This window comes from Homo sapiens, chromosome 2, assembly GCF_000001405.40.
Source record: "Homo sapiens chromosome 2, GRCh38.p14 Primary Assembly".
In the NCBI taxonomy this organism is placed as follows: Eukaryota; Metazoa; Chordata; class Mammalia; order Primates; family Hominidae; genus Homo; species Homo sapiens.
Window position 1 is genome coordinate 40,518,101 of NC_000002.12, and position 19,254 is coordinate 40,537,354.

Genomic DNA, 19,254 nt, shown 5'->3' on the forward strand with positions numbered 1-19,254 from the left:
TAGGTGGATTTCTTAGAATTTTCTATACATAAAATCATGCCATCTGCAAATAGTCCTAACGCTACTTCTTCCTATCCAATCTTGATCTCTTTTATTTCTTTTTTTGTGCTAATCGGCCTATGTAGTGCAATTTTGAATACAAGTGGTGAAACAGACATCCTTATTTTGTTCCTGAACTTAGGGAGAAAGCATCCAGTTTTTCACCAGTAAGTATAAAATTAGCTGTGAGGTTTTCTTATATGTCATTATTATTTTGAGGACATTTCCTTTTATTCCTGGTTTGTTTAGATTTTTTGTCTTCTTTTTTAAATCATAAAAATGTGTTGAATTTTGTCAAATGCTGTTTTAGCATCTATTGGGATGAACATGTGGGGTTTTTTTTGATATGGTAGAATATATTAATTGATTTTAAGATGTTAAACCAAACTTGCATTTCTGGGATATATCCCACTTGGTCATGTTGTATAATTATCTTTATATATTTCTGGGTTCAGTTTGCCAATGTCTTATTGAGGGTTTTTCTGTCCATATTCATAAACATATTGGTCTATAGTTTTCTTGTGATTTTGTTGTCCGTTTTGTATCAAGGTAAAACAGGCTTCATGAAATACATTGGGAAGTCTTCTCTCTCAGTATATTTATTGTAATAGTTTGTAAATAATTTCTATTGATTCTTTTTTAAATGATTGATAAATTCATCTGTGAAGCAATATGGACCTTGGCTCTTTCTTAATGGGTAGGTTTTGAATACTAAATTAATATTTTAATTTGTTATAGGTTTATTCACGTTGTTTATTTCTTCTTGAGTCAGTTTAGGTTCTTTGTATCTTTCTAGGAATCTGTCCATTTCATATAAATTAACTAATTTGTTTGCATATAATTGTTTACAGTATTTGTTTTAATTCTTTTTATTTCTGTAAGGTCTGTAATAATGTCCCCTCTTTCATTTCTCAGTCTTGCAATTTGAGTCCTCTCTTTTTGTCTTAGTCAGTCTAGCTAAGCATTTATCAATGTACGCTTTAGTCATGATATCTCCTCCATTATAATTATAAAATGCCTTTCTTTATCTCTAGTAACATTTTCTGGTTTAGTCTATTTGGTCTAAGTTTTTAAAACCACTCCAGCTTTCCTACAGTTGTTGTTTGCAAGATATGTCATTTCCATCATTTTACTTGTAGCCTATTTGTGTCTTTGAATCTAAAGTATATCTTCTTTTTTAAATTATTATACTTTAAGTATATCTTCTTTTCTAAACTTACACATGGATAATGTTTTCTTTATTAAAAAAACTCCAATCTGACACTCTGTGCCTTCTGATTGAATTAATTCACAGACGTTTAATGTTTTTATTTATATATTTGAATTTACATCTTACATTTTACTTTTGTTTTCTATATGTCTGTTGTCTTTTTTGAGTCTCAATTCCTCTCTATGGATTTCTTTTGCTTTAAGTGAACATTTTCTAATGTTGCATATTAATTTCTTTAATAATTTTTTCACTATATTTTTGACTTAATTTGTAGTGGTTACTCTAGAATATACTATATACATCTTAACTGATCAAAATTAGCCTTAGATTTAAACTAGCCTAATTCCAGTGATATATAGCTTTATTTCATTTTCCTCTTTTTTGTGGTGGTGTTCTATGTATTACATCTATTAACATTATAAACCTCAAAATACATTTCTATAATTATTATTCTACCATATGTAGTCATTTTCTTAGCCCATTACAGCTTTACTCTCCCTACCGCCTTTGTGCTATTATCAGCAAATATATTACGCATATATTACAAATAGCACATTATATATAAAAAATATATGAAAGTTTTTACAATTTCTCTTTAAATCCATCAGGAGAAGAAAGGAAAAATATTCATTTATAGTGTCTTTTATACTTGCATAATGACTTTTGCTGATTCTCTTTGTTTGTTTGTGTGACTCCACATGGCAATCTGGTGTCAATTGCTTTTAGGCTGAAGAATTTCTTACAGTATTACTTACCAGGTGAGTTTGCTAGAAACACATTTCCTCACCTTCTGTTTATCTGTTAAAGTCTTTATTTTGCCTTATTTTTAAAAAGTAGCACACTGTTTTTCTCTTATGACTTTGAAGAGTTACCATCATCTTTCACTTTTAGCATTTTTACATCATGTGTCTGTGAGTCTGTTTGTGTTTACCCTACTTGAAGTTCGTTGTAATTATTGTCAATAAATGTAAGAAGTTTCAGCCACTATATCTTTAAATATGTTTTTTTTCCTTTCTCTCTTTTATTCTGATAATCCCATTATATGTATATTGATGCACTTAATGGTATTCCATATTTCTCTGAGTATCTATTCATTTTTCCTCATTCTTTTTTCTGTCTGTTCTTCAGCTTGCCTAACTTCTATCAGTCTATTTTTAAGTTCACTAATTCTTTCTTCCTCCAGTTCAAATCTAAGATTAATTCTAATAAATGTTTTATTTCAGTTATTATAGTTTTCTGCTCCAGAATTTTCATTTGGCTCTTTTTAATGATTTGTTTAGTATTTCTTTTGACCTCAGGAGCATTCCTTCAAGTTGTCAGATTGCCCGGTTTTCTCCTGCAAACTAGTTGGCCTACAAACTAGGCTGTATCTTTATCAGATCCTAAAACTCTTCCTAATATTTTTTCACTGTAACCTTCCCTGTTCTTGAGATTGTCCTTTGGCTTCAGCTTCTTCATGTTTCGTTGAAAATAAAGTCAGATCCTTTGGGAAGAATTTAGAGTCATCATTTTGTGTCCTGTTTCTCCTACCAGGCAAAATCTCTGGGTTAAGGCCCTAGAGCTAAGAGTTGGGACATTGACAAGATTCTCTTTGAGTGACATTCTTGTTTCAGCAACTGAGAACTTGATGCAGGGAGGGAGATCTGCGCAGCCTGAGGTCACTTAGTTTAGCTCTCCAGTTGTAGAACAATTATCACTTCAAGTTCTGGGGCAGGGGCTATAAGGATCTCAGTATTCTCAACAGGTGGACTGTATATTCCATGAGTGGGGATTGAGCAGAGAAAGGGAACTGCTATTCTTGACCGTATTTACCCAGGTCTTAGCCTCAGCAATAGGCACTTGGAGGTAGGATGAGAAACACTGAAGTACCGCTCCTCCTAAGAATAAATCCCTCTAGGTGGAGAGTGGGAATGGTAGAATCCCTGTATTCTTGGCTCCAGAAGTCTGGAATGGGGAGGCTCTACCCTGCTGAGCTGGGTAGGGGGAGAGATGGGACTTTCTGTGTTCAAGTATCACGGACTCGCCTTTCTTACTGAATTTTTAGAAATTTCTTTGAATTGATGTTTCTTCATTTGCTGTCTGCCTTTAGCACAATTTTCAAGAGGACTTTAAAAACATATTTTTTATCAGTTTCATTGGAGTCAGTGGAGCTCCAGATATTGTCATGCCAGAAGTTGGTCTTTAGCCTGAATTTCTTTTATAACCCATAGCAGGTTTTACATATGGTGTGATCTCAAGGCATAAAAAATGTATTAGATCTTAATGCTTAGGATATTCCTTGGTATGCTTTAGCTAATCAATTAAATTTTGCTGAGTTATATTTAAATAAAGCATAAACATGTCCTTATTTTTACGTTTTGAAGTCTTCAGAGTGGTTGCATTTTTGCTGTTTAATTTTTTCACCAAATCTTATTTTCATTTACAAATTAGAATACAGAGTCAGAGAAGTAAAATGATTTACCTATGAATATATGGTAAGCCAGTGAATTTTTCAAAAGACAGCATACTCATTTTTTCCCATAGCTGTTAACTTTTCCTTTTTCCCCATTTATCTTTAAGATAAGTCATGAGTTAGAGAAATCTGTTTCATAAACAGCAGAAATATTAGTACTTGCTGTAAGTATCAAGGCCTGAAATTTGATCTTCCCCAGTCCAAAAATTATAAGGAAGAGATGTTTTATAAGGCTGTCAACACATCTGGTGCACAGGTGAAAGCTGTAGATCCCTAAAACTGGAAGCAAGAAGCTTTTCATTAAAGAGTTTGCTAAGCTAAGCATATCTTTTCTCTGTTCACTAACGTATTTCTACAAATTTTACTTGTCTATATTGTTCCAAAAAAGCTTGGATAATCTAACTAAAGGAAGTTACAACCAGGAATCCCGCTCAATCCAGAGAAAATGATGAAAGTATTAGCTGACAAGGCCAATCTAAGTAAGGATTTATTTTGGCCAAAACTTACCATTTGTCTACTTTACAAGTGAAGTGAAAGGATGAATCAAACTGGAGGCCACTATTTTCAGCAAAACAATCAATGCAGAAACAAGAATTCAAATGCCGCGTATTCTCACTTATAAGTGAGAGCTTAAAATGTGTACACATGAACATAGAATGGGGAATGATAGACATTGGAGATTTGGGAGGGCGGGAGGGTGGGAAGGGGTGGGAGATGAGAAATTACTTGATGGGTACAATGTGCATTATTCGGGTGATTAATGCACTAAAAGCCCAGGCTTCACTACTATGTGATTTATTCATGTAAGAAAACTGCACATGTACTCCTTAAATTTGTACAAATTAAAAAAAAAAAAAAAAAGGAAAAAGGAAGCAAACAAACAAAAAACAAAACAACTAAAAAAGGCACACGTGGTCAGACCCCAGAGCTGTTTTCGGGATCACCTGGGGAAATAATGCGGCAATTATCACATCAGCCTCCACTTTTACAATGGACAACTAATTTTAAGAATTATCCTATTTCCAGGATATAGTACACATCTCTGCCAGTTTAAGCTTCCATAGACATGCTTTTATCAAGCACCTTCAGCGTCCAGATTATAGGGTTACATTGTCTTCTCAATTTTTGCTGTAATTCTTATTTTTGGAAATTTCCACGTTGTTGTTGGTAGTATTCCATTACATGGGATATGCCATAGTTTGTTTAACCATTCACCTGTTGAAGAACATCTGAGTTGTTTTCACTGTCTAGCTATCACACATAAAACTACTGTGGACATCTGTGTAAGGTTTTTATGTAAACATAAACTTTTCATTTCTCTAGGATAAATGTCCAGGATTATAGCTGCTGGGTCATATGGTGGCAGCATGTTTAATATTTTAAGAAACTTCCTGTCTTCTAGAGTGCCTATATAATTTTACATTCCAAGCAGCAACATATGATTGATCCAGTTTTCCTATAACCTTGTAATCATTTGGTTACAAGCTATTCTGGTTAGTATATCTCTCATTGTGGTTTTAATGTGCATTCCTCCAGTGGCTAATACTTGATCAACTTTTTATGTGCTTATTTGCCATATGCTCTTTGATCAAATGTCAATTTTTTCGCCCATATTTTAATTAGATTTTTCAAACTGTTGATTTTGAGTTTTCAGATATTAGTCCTTTGAAAGGTATATTACTTGTAAATATTTTCTCCTGTCTATAGATTACCTTTTTATTTATTTAAGAGACTTTCACAGAGGATTAGTTTTAAATTTTTATAAAAATTCACCAATTTTATCATTTATGGATTATTTTTGGTGCTTAATTAAGAAAAACCTTTGCCTCGCTCTAAACCCTGAAGATTGTTCGTATTTTTTTCTAAAACTTTTATATTGTTATGTTTTACATTTAAGTTTATGGTCTATTTTGAGTTAATTTTTGCAGAAGTTGTGAGACTTAAGGTGAATTAGCTTCAAAATATTAATTGGAAGCGTTCATCTTCTTCTATTTTATGGCAGACATTGTATAGAATCGGTGTGAATTTTTCTTTAAACATTTTGTTGAATTTTCCAGTGAAACCATCTGTGCCTGGAGATGGTTTGGGGGAGGAATTTTAAAACTACATATTCAACTTTATTAGTAGTTAGAGAGTTATTCAAGTGATCTGTTTTGTATCAGATAAATTGTGGTAATTTGTGTTTTTCAAGGAATTGATTCTCTTTCTTGGTGGTATTTTTAAGTCCTATCTCTTTGCTGATAATATATCCAGTTATTCCATCAGTTTTTGAGACGAGTGTTGAAGTCTCTAACTGTAGTTCTTGATTTGTCTATTTCTTGTTTCAATTCTAAGATACACATTTAGGATTGCAATATTTTCTTGGTTGATTGACCCTTGTCATTCTCTGTCTCTGCTGCTTTGCTTTGCTTTGAAGCCTACTGCATCTGCAATAATTATAGCCACACTTGCTTTTTTTGAGTAATGCTTGCATGATGTGTATTTTCCCCTCATTTCTTTTAACTTTCCTATATTGTTGCATTTGAAGTGAGTTTCTTGTAGACAGGATCATGTCTTTTAATCACCTCTGCCAATCTCTGGCTTTTAATTGATGTATTTAGAACATTTACGCCATTAATGCAAGTATTAATATGCTAGAGTTGAGTTTCTCTTTTTTTGTTGTTTTCCATTTGTTTTCTTTGTTTTTCATTTACTGTTTTTTCTGCTTTCCTTTACATTTATGAAACTTTCTAAAAATTCAATTTTTATTTATCTTTAATGTTTTGAATATATCTCTTTGTATTGTTGTCTTCATGATTATTTTAGGTGTTACTATATATTATGTATAGATAACTTATAACAGTCTACCAGTGTCATCATTTTGTTTGTTTGAGTGAAATTTGGAAGCTCTACCTTTCTTTATATCTTTTTACACTCCCACATTTATATTACAATTATCTTAAGTATTTTTTTCTACATAGATTTAAAATAATACCAGGTAGTTTTATAATTTTTACTTCAATTATAAAACATAATTTAGAAAACAGAAGAGGAGAATAAAATTGTATTGAATTTACTTGTAGTTTTGTTTACCATGTTCTTCCCTCTTTCCTGATATTTGAACATTCCTTTTTTTTAAAAAAAAAAACAAAACTATTTCCTTTCTGTTTAAAGAACATCATTTAGCTGTTCTTTTAGGAGACGTCTACCAGCAAGCATTGCCTCTGTTTTTTTTTGTTTGTTTGTTTGTTTTAGTCTACACATATATTAATTTCCTGTTCATTTCTGAAAGATATTTTCACTAGGTATAGAATCCTGGCTTAAGAGATTATTTTCTATATCACTTTAAAAATTATCTGCCACTTCTTTCTGTCTTCCATAGTTTCTGGTGAGAAATCCACTGTCATTCAAGTTGTTTTTTCCTTAGAAAGAAAAGTATTATTTCTTTCTCACAACTGTTGAGATTTTTTTCTTTTCCTTTAGTTTTCAGAAGTTTCACTATGTAGCTTTTTTTGTGTATGTGTGAGAGATTATCCTGTTTGGGATTCATTCAGCTTCTTGAACTGTAGATTTACATCTTTTGTCAAATTTGGGCAGTTTTCAGCCATTATTTCTTCTATTTCTAATTTCTCAGCATCATCCTTTTTCTCCTCTCCTTCTGAGTCGTCAATGACCCAAAGTCAGATTATAGTTCCACATATCCATAAGGGTATACTGTTTTCCAGCCTGTTTTCTCTTTGTTGTGTAAATTTGGTAATTTTTATATTTTTCTTCTAATTACCTTCTAATTTACTAATTTTCCCTTTGCCTCCTCCATTCTGCTGTTAAGCTCATCCATTAAGCTTCTTACATTATAATATTTTTCAACTCTAAACTTTTCATTTTTCTTCTTTATATCTTTTATATTTTTGCTGAGACTTTGCATGGTTTCATTTGTTTCAAGCATGTTTGTAATTGCTCATTGAAATGTTTTCATAATGGTTGCATTAGATATTTGGTCGATTATCCTAATATATTTGTCTTCTCATAGCTTGCATCTTGGATTGTCTTTTCTTCACTTATTCAGAGATCTTCCTAGTTCTTGATATGATAAGTAATTTTTGACAGAAATATGTACAGTTTGAGCTTTATATTATAACACTGAATCTCACATAAATCTCTGTATTAACTTGATTCCTCTGACACGATGCTGGTGGGGATGGGGAATTGCTGGCTAATTATTACCAAGTGGGAGTTAATGACAAGGTTCTCTACTAGACCTCCATTGACACCAGAGGAATGGGTCTTCATTATCGCTGATTGTAGGTAAGAGAGTTGGCTCTCCACTAGGCCTCCACTGATACTCCCTAGTGGGAGAAGTTATAGTGACTCATTGTACTAAATGCTTCCCCTATGGTATCCATGACACCAAGAGGGAGAAGTAACACCATTACCATTGGACAATGGTGAAAGTTCTGCCTCTCTCTATGCCTCCACAATCACCCTAGTGAGGAGAAGTAGGGATGGCTCATACTACTTGATGGGTGTGGAAATCCAGGCTCTCCAAGTGGTCTCTCTCCATTGACCCTCACTGGGGCATGAGATGGTTGTAGGTGGTGACTATGAAGGTCCCAACTCCTTACTCAGTCTTCTCTGGCAGCACCTTGGCAGATGTTATGGGACCCTCATGACAGACTGGGGACGATGGAAGTCTAAGTGTTCTACTTGGCCTTTGTTGGCATTTGTTGAGGTGCTAGTCAGCTGAAGTAAGAAGTTATTGTCTAAAATTTCTCTGTCTTTCCATTCAACTCCTTTATTTGTCCTTTGGCCAAAGACAGCAGACTTGTGTTTGGGCTTTTTCTTTTTTTTTCTTCTTATCTCTGGCTTTAAGTCTGGGATATATGATATAAAGAGGATGAAAGGGAACTCATTATCATGTCATTTATGGGTTTTAAGACCCCCTTACTAGCCCGCTTTCTTCTCTCTACTTCTCAGAGTTTTATGTTCATTTTTGTATAGTGTCTTGGGTTTTTAGTTGTACTTAGTGTGAGAAATAGGGAAACGTATGTCTATTCCATCTTTTTGGAAGGAGAAGTTTCAACCAACTATGTCTTCAGAAGTACTTACTCATTTTTCTACCACAAAGTACACGTAAAACTAGTTGTGTTTGCCCTATGGCTGGGGGAATCAAATGCCTCATCCCTTTAGTTAGCATTAGATTTGATAAGTATTCCCAGGAAGAAGACAAATGAGAAAATATAAACAAAACAAACAAACAAACAAAATGGATTGCAACTTTAAAGGATGATATATAAATTTGAGCATAATAGGAGCTATTCAGAAGTTTAAGTTAAAAATTATTGGCCAGGCACGGTGGCTCACACCTGTAATCCCAGAACTTTGGGAGGCCTAGGTGGGTGGAACATGAGGTCAGGAGTTCGAGACCAGCCTGACCAACATGGTGAAACTCTGTCTCTACTAAAAAAATTAAAAAAACCAAAAAAATAAAAAATTAGCTGGGCGTGGTGGTGCACGCCTGTAATCCCAGCTACTCAGGAGGCTGAGGCAGAAGAATTGCTTGAACCTGGGAGGCAGAGGTTGCAGTTAGCCGAGATTGTGCCATCGCACTCCAGCCTGGGCAACAGAGCAAGACTCTGTCTCAAAAAAAAAATATTTACAAGCTTTTTAGCTTTTTAGCATTATGTTGTACTATGTTTCGATTTTCAATCCAGGGATTAAAAAAAATTGAGAAGTCTGGCACTGTGGCATGCACCTGTAGTCCCAGTTACTCAGGAGGCTGAGGTAGGAGGATCACTTGAACCTAGGTACTGGAGACCAGACTTGGCAATATAGTGAGGCCTTGTCTCAAAAAAATAAATAAAAATAAATTAAAAATATGAGAATTCCTGGACATAGCTGTGGATTTTGTGTCAAGTCAGAAAGATTGTGAAAGCATCAATATTATAACCAACCCTATCATACTTAAAATTTAATAGACCTTGGGATTTGGTAATCATTTCCACTGGAATGATTTTAGTCATTACCTTAAAATTTATTATTAACTATTATATTTATTATTTTTATTAATTACCTTAAAATTTTATTAATTACCTCAAACTAATTAGAGTTTCAATAAAATGTTTTAATCCTCACATTTTTGGATGCTAACATTCAAGGCTGAATTCCACAGAAAGTTAAGAATTGTCAGTTTACTTCAATTAACTCCTTAGATAACATTTTTTGTTAAATGTGGCAAAATCTATGTCATTATTTAAAAATACAGTTAATCTACAAATTACAGGTCCACAAGCTTTCTTATGGCTTTCTTCTAAAAATATAGGCCTGTGCTTTCAATTTTAATATCTGACTCGAAGATCAACTAGGTGTCAGGTACAAAACTCAACATCTATTCTAGCTTCTTTTCTATTTCTTTCTCTGCCCTTATTTCATTAATTTTCATGATCACAACTACGATGAATAAGCTTTGAAGTTTTAAATCTTTGTTTCTCTTTACAACACTCTTCCTTCTGTACTCTACATTTCTCACTGTATTTGACCTTTTCTCCAGGAACTACTGCAGTGACCTCAAGTAAAACAAATCCTAATCTAAACTTCCTAACTCTCTCCCAATCAAACCATTTCTCATTGTCTCATTGATTCATTCATTATAAATGGTGGTGCCACTCTTTCAGTCTCTCAAACTGGAAAGTTCAGTGACATTCATTCCTTCTCTACCCACCAAGTATTTAAGTCACCACAAATTCCGTAAGCTCATTACAAATATCTCTTGAATCCAGTAGAATTTTTTTTTCTCACAACACTGTTCCCATGATGTCCATTGTCTCTTTCTTGGAAAGAGTTTCTGCTCTGATTTTTCCAATGTATTCCAAATGAATCCGATATAGGCTTATTTTCCCATTCATCTCAATATATTTTCCTATTCATTCCAAATGAATCCTATATAAGTTCACTTTTCACTTGAGTTACATTTCTAATGTATGAATTCATAATGACATCATCATCAACAATAGTAAATCTCCACATTTATTGTTCGGCTAAAAACATTTCGATCAAGGTTAAATTTCCTCTGCGTTGATATTCCATCCAGTTATGTGTCTTTATAGTAGAATGATTTATAATCCTTTGGGTATATACCAGTAATTGGATTGCTGGAGTCAAATGGCATTTCTGGTTCTAGATCCTTGAGGAACCACCACACCATCTTCCACAACGGCTGAACTAATTTACACTTCCACCAACGGTGTAAAAGTGTTCCAATTTCTCCACATCCTCTCCAGCATCTGTTGTTTCCTGACTTTTTAATGACTGCCATTCTGACTGGTGTGAGATGCTATCTCATCATGGTTTTGACTTATATTTGTGTAATGACCAGTGATGATGAGCTTTTTTTCATATGTTTGTTGGCCACAAAAATGTCTTCTTTTGAGAATTGTCTGTTCATATTCTTTGCCCACTTTTTGATGGGGTTGTTTGTTTTTTTCTTATAAATTTGTTTAAATTCCTTGTAGATTCTGGATATTAGTCCTTTGTCAGATGGATAGATTGCAAACATTTTCTCCCATTCTGTAGGTTGCCTGTTCACTCTGATGATAGCAAAGATTTGGAACCAACCTAAATGCCCAACAATGATAGACTGGACAAAGAAAATGTGGCACATAAACACAATGGAATACTATGCAGCCATAAAAAAGGATTAGTTCATGCCCTTGGCAGGGACATGGATGAAGCTGGAAACCATCGTTCTCAGCAAACTAACACAGGAACAGAAAACCAAACACAACATGTTGTCACTCATAAGTGGGAGTTGAACAATGAGAACACATGGATACAGGGAGTGGAACATCACACACTGGGGCCTGTTGGGGGGTAGGGGGTAAGGGAAGGGATTTCATTAGGAGAAATACCTAATGTAGATGAGGGGTTGATGGGTGCAGCAAATCACCATGGCACATGTATACCTATATAACAAACCTGCAGGTTCTGCATATGTATCTCAGAACTTAAAGTATAATAAAAAAATAAAAGAAAAGCTCTACATGACAGCTTAAGGGGATTAGAATTTACCAGAGCCAATGGGGAGCCAGAAGGTTTTTTCAAACAAGTAAGTGAGAAATTTGAGGTAGGAGGGGGCTTTCTGTTGTTATTGATACTAATTTGTGATTTAGTAAATATTTTGGTTAATTTACTGTTAACCATCATTGTCTCTCTTTTCTCTAACAGAAAAATAGACCGCTAGCCTTGTAAGACGGTAGTTTTCATTGATGTGTGAAAGATTTTTTTCCTAAGTTCAGCTAGGTTTTATTAGTCAAGATAGCTGTCATTTTTTTCCCTTAACAATGTCTCTTTATGTAAATTTATTCTCCATTTTGATTGCTACTATTCTATTTCAGGCCCTTATCACCTCACATCCAAATAGCTGCAGAAAGAGAGAGAAGAAGAAAGGAAGTAAAAAATGAAGGAAGGGAGGAGTAGGACTATGTTCAGACACCCTCCCTAGGTCAATTAAATCAGAATTTTGGAGAAATGGTCAAGGCATTCAAAATTTTTCTTTGTGCCACCAGGGTTGAGAGCCATTGCCTTTTTGGTCCCTTTTAATTAGATTAATTTTACCTCTAAACCTTAACACCAAAACTCAATTAACCTTTTTAAGACATAATTTTCAGTGCATGTTTTACTGCTAAATTTCCTCAGCCAGAGACCGTAGATAATATACCATTTTTTAAATTTCACGAGAGAGATAGCTCTATTGACAAAGCTGTATGAATTTAATATAGTTCCAAGGCTGGTACTTTCCTGACTTGGCTCATTCTCTTACAAATCTAAGCATGTTGTAGAGAGTAGGCTTCTCCTGCCTCTGTTGTCTACAGTGAATATTTATGGAGATAAACTTCCAAACTTTTCTTTGATTCTTCTTCTGACTTTCGATTTTCCCTCATGTCAACCTATGTGCTTTTCTATCTGGCCTTTCTCCTTCAGACTGACTGAATGACATTTAATCACATCTTTCTCTTTTCTGCGAGGTCTCCACAGATTGATGGCTACATAACCATAGCCCTAATTTTGCAGGGCTACACAAACACCCTCATCTATATCCTGCTCTTATAGACAACCCAAAAGCAAGGGTACTTGAAAACAGTCATTAAAGATTGCAGGCATGGAGCTAGGGACAAGGCACAAAATGGCAAATGAAGCATCATTTCATTTATATATTAACATGAGTGGGTCTAAAATGTAGCTTCTTTGTAATATGTGAGATTGTGATCTCATCTTCCATGACTGCGTGCCTTGATTCTAACAACATATATCATCTTCCAATACCTGCACTCATTTTTAAGAAAACAAGTTTTATTTTATCCCAGTGGCGTACTAGCTAGTAAACTCTGAAGTCATTTTCTTCTACTCTATGATTAAGCACCGAAGTGTCTGGATGAAGTGGAACCCTTCAACTTTGCTGGCATTCTTAGATGGAAGCTTTACACATTTAAAACACTGAGCTTCTCAGTCCACTGATTGGTGCTGCTTGGATCACCAGTCCTTGGCGAGATCCAGTCCTATTTCCTAACACTGGGCATTATGTTTTTTCTGCATCCTATCCTTCTATTTAGATTGGGCATCCTTTAAACTGGGATCTTGCTATGTTCCTTGTTACTTGTTATTCTTCAACTCTCTGTTGTGGAGGAGCTGACAATTGTGCCTTTTATTATTATTTTAATTCTGTAATAAGCCCAATGATATAAATACATTCTCCAATTCTGTGGTTTGCTTTTTCACTCTGTTGATGATGTCACTGATTTTTCCCTAGTTCTTTGAATAGCTAGCATTTGTAAATCTTGTGGGTCTCATTTTAGACATAAAGTTCTCAGAAGAACCTTCTTAGATTACTTTGTTTAGGACTGTGTCAATGAAGCATTTTAAGCAAAGGCACAATATGATGAGATTTACATTTTGAGAGGATCATTCATGCTTTTGTCTTAATGAAAGATACAGGAGAAAGGTTAGCATTTTATTGAACAATTCTGAAGATATCTTGGTTGATTATGGCTTAAGATCATGGCAGCAGAGGTAAAAAGAAGTCCATGGATCCTAGATATATTTAATAAAGAAATTTGAGAGTTGATGCATTAAATGTAAGAGATTGAGAGAGGGTGGTTCTATGCTTGCCCCATGGATTTCTAGTTTCAGTAAGCATCTGGATAGATAATACAATACAATGCAATACAATACAATCGCTTGTATGACTAGGACTGAGTACACAGTAGGATCTCAGCTCACTGCAACCTCCACCTCCTGGGTTCAAGCGATTCTCCTGGCTCAGCCTCTGGAGGATCTGGGATTACAAGGCATGCACCACCATGCCCAGCTAATTTTTTGTATTTTTAGTAGAGACAGGGTTTTACCACGTTGGCCAGGCTGGTCTCGAACTCCTGACTTCGTGATCCACCCACCTTGGTCTCCCAAAGTGCTGGGATTACAGGCATAAGCCACGAAGCCCAGTCAACAGTAGGTTTTTAATATAATATTTATTTAAGTGAGTGAATGGATGGATGAATAAACCAGTTCTGATCAGAAGGATAAATGAAGATTTCATGGGGTAATTTCGTTGTTTTGAATAAGACTTCTAGGTCTTGAAGCAGGGGTAGGATTTAGACAGGTACGGGTCAAGTAACAAATACACATGCCCTGAATTCCTGAGTGAATGAATGGTAAAAGCGAATGCAGAAATTCCAGGTGGACAGAAGAGTTTGAGTAATACCCAAGAAGCAACATGGTACAGAATCTGTTTGGCAACTGTGAAGAGTTTACTTTCGCTGAAGCCTAGGGTAATGGGAGGGAGTGGTAGAAAACCAAAGTGCCCATGTAGCAAGCTCAGCACTTTGACTTTGGGTGTGTTAAATGAAGGGGTTATGACATTATCAAGATTTCTGTTTTCTATAAGATTTAATATTCCTGGTTGATGAGATTTGATGATGATAGAATACTGGAGTAATCATAAAGTCACATGTTTGCAGAGACAAGTAGTCTATTGAGTTCTCACTTAGCACTCTCTGGAAGAACATACCTAACATTTTTGTTTTTCCTAAAGGGATGTCTTACTTTCCAAGTTAGCTACTCAATCTAATATGAAACATATTTAGAGGAGGAGGAGGAGGAAGAGAGATATAGTGGTGTGTAATCACTGGTCAGAATGAAGTGCTCAGGTTTCAGCTAGTGGTGCTTATATGATAACTTGCATTTTAAATTCTGCCCAAAGCATCGGAAACCAGATTCCTTGTAGTTACCACAAGACATAGCATCCAGGAGTCTCCTAAAAAATTCTAATAGCCTTAAATAATAGGAACATTTAATTCATGTATTGTTGGTACTGTTAAAACATTTGATAATATGCATTATGTATTTTTGTATTTCAGATTAAATAATCAAGTCATTATTGTGAATTTGGATCTAAATGACCTGGCAGAAACCATGGAGATGATCTTGGTAAACTCACCTAATTTTTAAAATGCCTCACAGAGTTTAATTTTGCCCTTTTGTGTCATGGTAAATGAGAGGCTCTCTTGCCTCCACTTCATTCCAAACTCATGTCCCATGATCTGCAAGGAATGTTTTCTCTTTATTTGCAAGGATACTGCTCAAGCTTCTATTTATGAGCCCCTGAACAATAGAATAGACAGCCCCACTGAGACTCTTTTGCCTTTGTGTGGTACAAAGGGACCTCCCTCTAGGAGAAGACAAAAATAATTTAAGTCTATAACTCATTTTAAAAAATCAAAACAAAGCAAACAAAACAGAAAAACCCCAGCATTCAATTATTTCTGCTTTCTATTGGAACTGGAGATCCTCCTTTTTAACTGAATTAGCATATTCCTGACCTCAGGAACTGCAGCTATTATGAAATTTATAATCTGTTTATATACCTAACATAGTATTCTTATTCTTAAATAAGTTCCTAAGTAAATATTTGTGAAATGATATTTCCCTTAATTCATTCTTATTGTGCAGTTAATGAGATTATTTGTCATTGGATATTGACTATAAAATCAGTGTTGAAAGCCTTTACTAATTATTTATACTAATGTATCATTTAATGTTTATTCTAGCTTCCTATGCAGACAGCCTAGTTAGGTCTGATTATGTCCATGGGCCTATCTCTATAGAACAGGCAGAGACATTAATGCTAAATAAAGTACAATGAAGAAAAGTAATTTTTTTTGCATGTTAGTTCTTTGTTTTGCACTTTGTTTCATTGAATTGTAACAGAAAGAGCTTGAAGAGATGAGCTAAAATAAAGGTAGGCAATTCAAAGATATTTTGATTGGAATTGCTGGGTAAGTGAGTGGAGAGAAAAATGTTGGAATACCTGAGCATTCTCTCTCAGTGGCCTAGTTGAACCCCAGGGAACATTTTGTTCTGAGGGTGATTTAAAGACACTGATAAATAAGAAGGCATCCTGTTAAGCTAGTTAAAGCTAGACTGAATAAGATAGGTTAGTCTGGTACTAATTTGGGATAGTTGAGTAGCAATGGTGAGCCTGATAAGGCAGGGTGGCTCTCAGTACTCACTCAGCCATTGGTACCAAAGGAAAATCAAAGGCTGCAAAAATGCCATGTTATTAAATATGTTTTAGGATGTCTGAAGACTCATCACAGCCACCTAAGCCCATAAACTATTAAACATGACATCTATGCTATTTATTAACACAGGAAAAAGGTACACTTTTTTTTTTAATGCACAGACATTACATGGAGACATATATTTTTCCAAACCAGTGCTTATCTTGAGAGAGTTAAGAACTGTCGACAAACTACTCTAATGAGGCTGTTTTCTGAGGGAAAGCAAGCTCAGTAAATCACTCTGCTTTTCTTTGGTCTTTTCGTCCTGCATGTAAAATTTTAACCACATCTGACAGAGGAAGTGAATCTCTGGGCCAAAATACTCAACAAATGTCTTATCCACAGATAGAGGTAAATGGCAACTACAGCTCGTCAGTGACAGCATTAGTCATTGTGATTTGTTTTTAACTGGTTACAGAGTGAAATAACACTGGTAAGTTCTGGAAGGTGCTTCATAGTGTTCCAAAGTGTGTCATCCCTGTGCTTATGCATTTGTATCAAGGATTTAAAGAGGAAAAACTCAAAGCAATGTATTCTGATCAAGAAATGGCAGGAAATGGCAGCTACCTGATATGGAACAATCAACAACTGAAGGTTTATTTTGAATGAGAGGTGTTGTCCAACTGCGAGACGGAGTGATTGAAGCTGAGAATAAATGGAAACACAATCAATAGTCACTCCAGGTATGCAGTTATTGAGAGCTGTCTTGAAAGTTTCATGTCTCTTCTCTTTTTGCAGCCACGTTTACACTGCATCCACAGATTGCGATACTGTTTATGAAGGAGAGAAAAAGTCCTTCTGTTTATTCTTATTCTTGTTCTTAATAAAAACTTCTGAGCTATTATGCTTTGAAATTACAACGATAAAGTGGCGCTCTGAGAATAAAAGATTCAATATATTACAATTGAGAATAAAAGATTCAATATATTACAAAGTCAACTTGTATATTGGACAGATAAGCATACCTCCTGATTATTGTTTAATACACATTTCCTCTATGGTCAGTCGTCAATGTTTATATTCGTTGTTTTCTCTTTTCTGTAGTTGTGTGGTTATGGGTAAAGTCATTGTATTCTTCCTGGTCCCTACCAATGTAGTTATTTTATTGATATAGACATTAGGAACTACTCAATAAATATTTGTTGTAGGACAAACTATAATTGCAATGTGTCATATTTGGATAATACTTTACAGTTTGCAAAGCACTTTAGCATACCTTATTAAGTTAAACCACACTGTCACAAAATGAACTGTTGAAAATGTGTGCTTTTTAAGTCTCCTTATAGTCATACCTCATATGTCACACACAAATATCATAGACACAGAAAGACAGACAGACAAATAACTACATAAGCAGTATTCCCCAAACTCATATTTTGTGCTTCATTTAGGATTTCTTACCAGTATAATTTTCATTTGGAAAACCTTCCCTCCTCTTTATGTTACAAAAAAGACCTCTTGATGATTCAGAAATAGTTTTTTTTTTTTCTTTTTCTGTTTCGGTTCCTATAACTATGTAAGACACTGATGAGGCCCATCACAACATGGAGTACAACTGTAAATAAGATGAAGTTCTTGACCTCTGGGAGATTAACATCCACTTATTTTCTTCACGCAATCCTCCCCAACTAGCAGTCTCACTAGACAATGCCATTTTTTAAGCACTTATTTTAGAACCTTGGGAGGCAAGCTGGAGCCTGGGAAGCCTTTACACTTGTTAGAACTCTTCTATGCTTAGATGTAAGGCTCTTTTTCATCTGGTTGCTTTTATAATGTAAAAAGCGAGCAAATTATTCAGAGCACAATCAGTGAGTCCAGAGTATTGAAACACTCCTCTTAACAACAATGTCACGTTACTTTATTTGTTCATGAAGCACTTGAAAAATGAGAAAGAACAGCAGGTCTTTAAGAGAGAACAGAGAAAGAGTTGGCCTCGAGTGTTTTATTACCAAAAGAGGGTGTTAACATGCATGGAAATGTCAAATCACTACTAAAAAAAAAAAAAATCAATGAATGACATATCCAGTTGCAGCTCACTCAACTCTGATTTAACAATCATTTGAGCTCTTACAAGGGAATGATTCTGAAGAATAAAATGTATTTCAGTTTCACCTGCTGAGTATTAATGCATTTGAAACATTGGAGGAAGACGTCAAAAGAAAATGGAATATCTTTACTACCACCTACATTCTCTCAAACATAAAAATATAATGTAGTTGTATGAAAGTAAGTTCTATAGAACACTACTTTTATTAAAATGTGTGTAATCCTGTAGGCTTGAAAAGTGTCAGATATTGCCATAAGATAAACTGATAATATCACTGCTTGGTATTCATACAGCATTTTTCTTTTCAGAACCCCGAAGCAATTTATGGGTCTAACTTAGTCTTCATGTGTAGACATTTGGAATCTTAGCCAGTGTGCTTTAACAAACCAAGAAACCTGGAAAGTGATCAGGTCTCACTGTAGGTGAAGTTTTTAGCCATTTGACGCATTTCAATTTCTTATTGTGAGCCTGAAAAACAACAGGGAAATGGTCCCTAAACCTACAGAAATGAGGCACCTGAGCAGTGTCTCCACGAAGTGTTGCTACATGTGTCTAGGGACACCATTAAAAGCCCCAGCCCTGCCATTTCTATACACTATTGAATGCTCTCAGTAACAGATTAAAGGGGATGACTTTAACTCAATCACTTCGTTGAAAGGTCCAGTGACTTTTACTCAGAAATGGCAGAGGGTTTATTCCAAAGTAACATCTGGTGAAGAGACTGCATAAGACTCTCTGGCATTATAGAAATATTTTATTTAACAATATTCTATTGAAGCATTTATATTTCACATCAAGATTTTTGTTTTAGGGATGATATACCATAAAAAGTACAATGGAGTTCTTATGATATTAGGATTTATGCAAGATAAGGCACATTGTTGCCACAGGGGTCAGTAAATAAATAGTCCTAATC

The 19,254-nt window shown here is 34.8% G+C and overlaps 1 long non-coding RNA gene across 5 annotated transcripts in view; it reads left to right on the forward strand.

The window, feature by feature from the left end:
• The window catches only part of LOC101929667 (uncharacterized), a 46,532-nt gene that overhangs the window by 6,179 nt on the left and 21,099 nt on the right, over window positions 1-19,254 (forward strand). For all 5 annotated transcript variants that reach the window (XR_007086295.1, XR_939982.3, XR_244991.5 and 2 more), the window contains 2 exons: window positions 15,089-15,158; window positions 16,794-16,974. This is a non-coding gene — a long non-coding RNA (uncharacterized LOC101929667). The remainder of the gene's footprint in view (window positions 1-15,088; window positions 15,159-16,793; window positions 16,975-19,254) is intronic.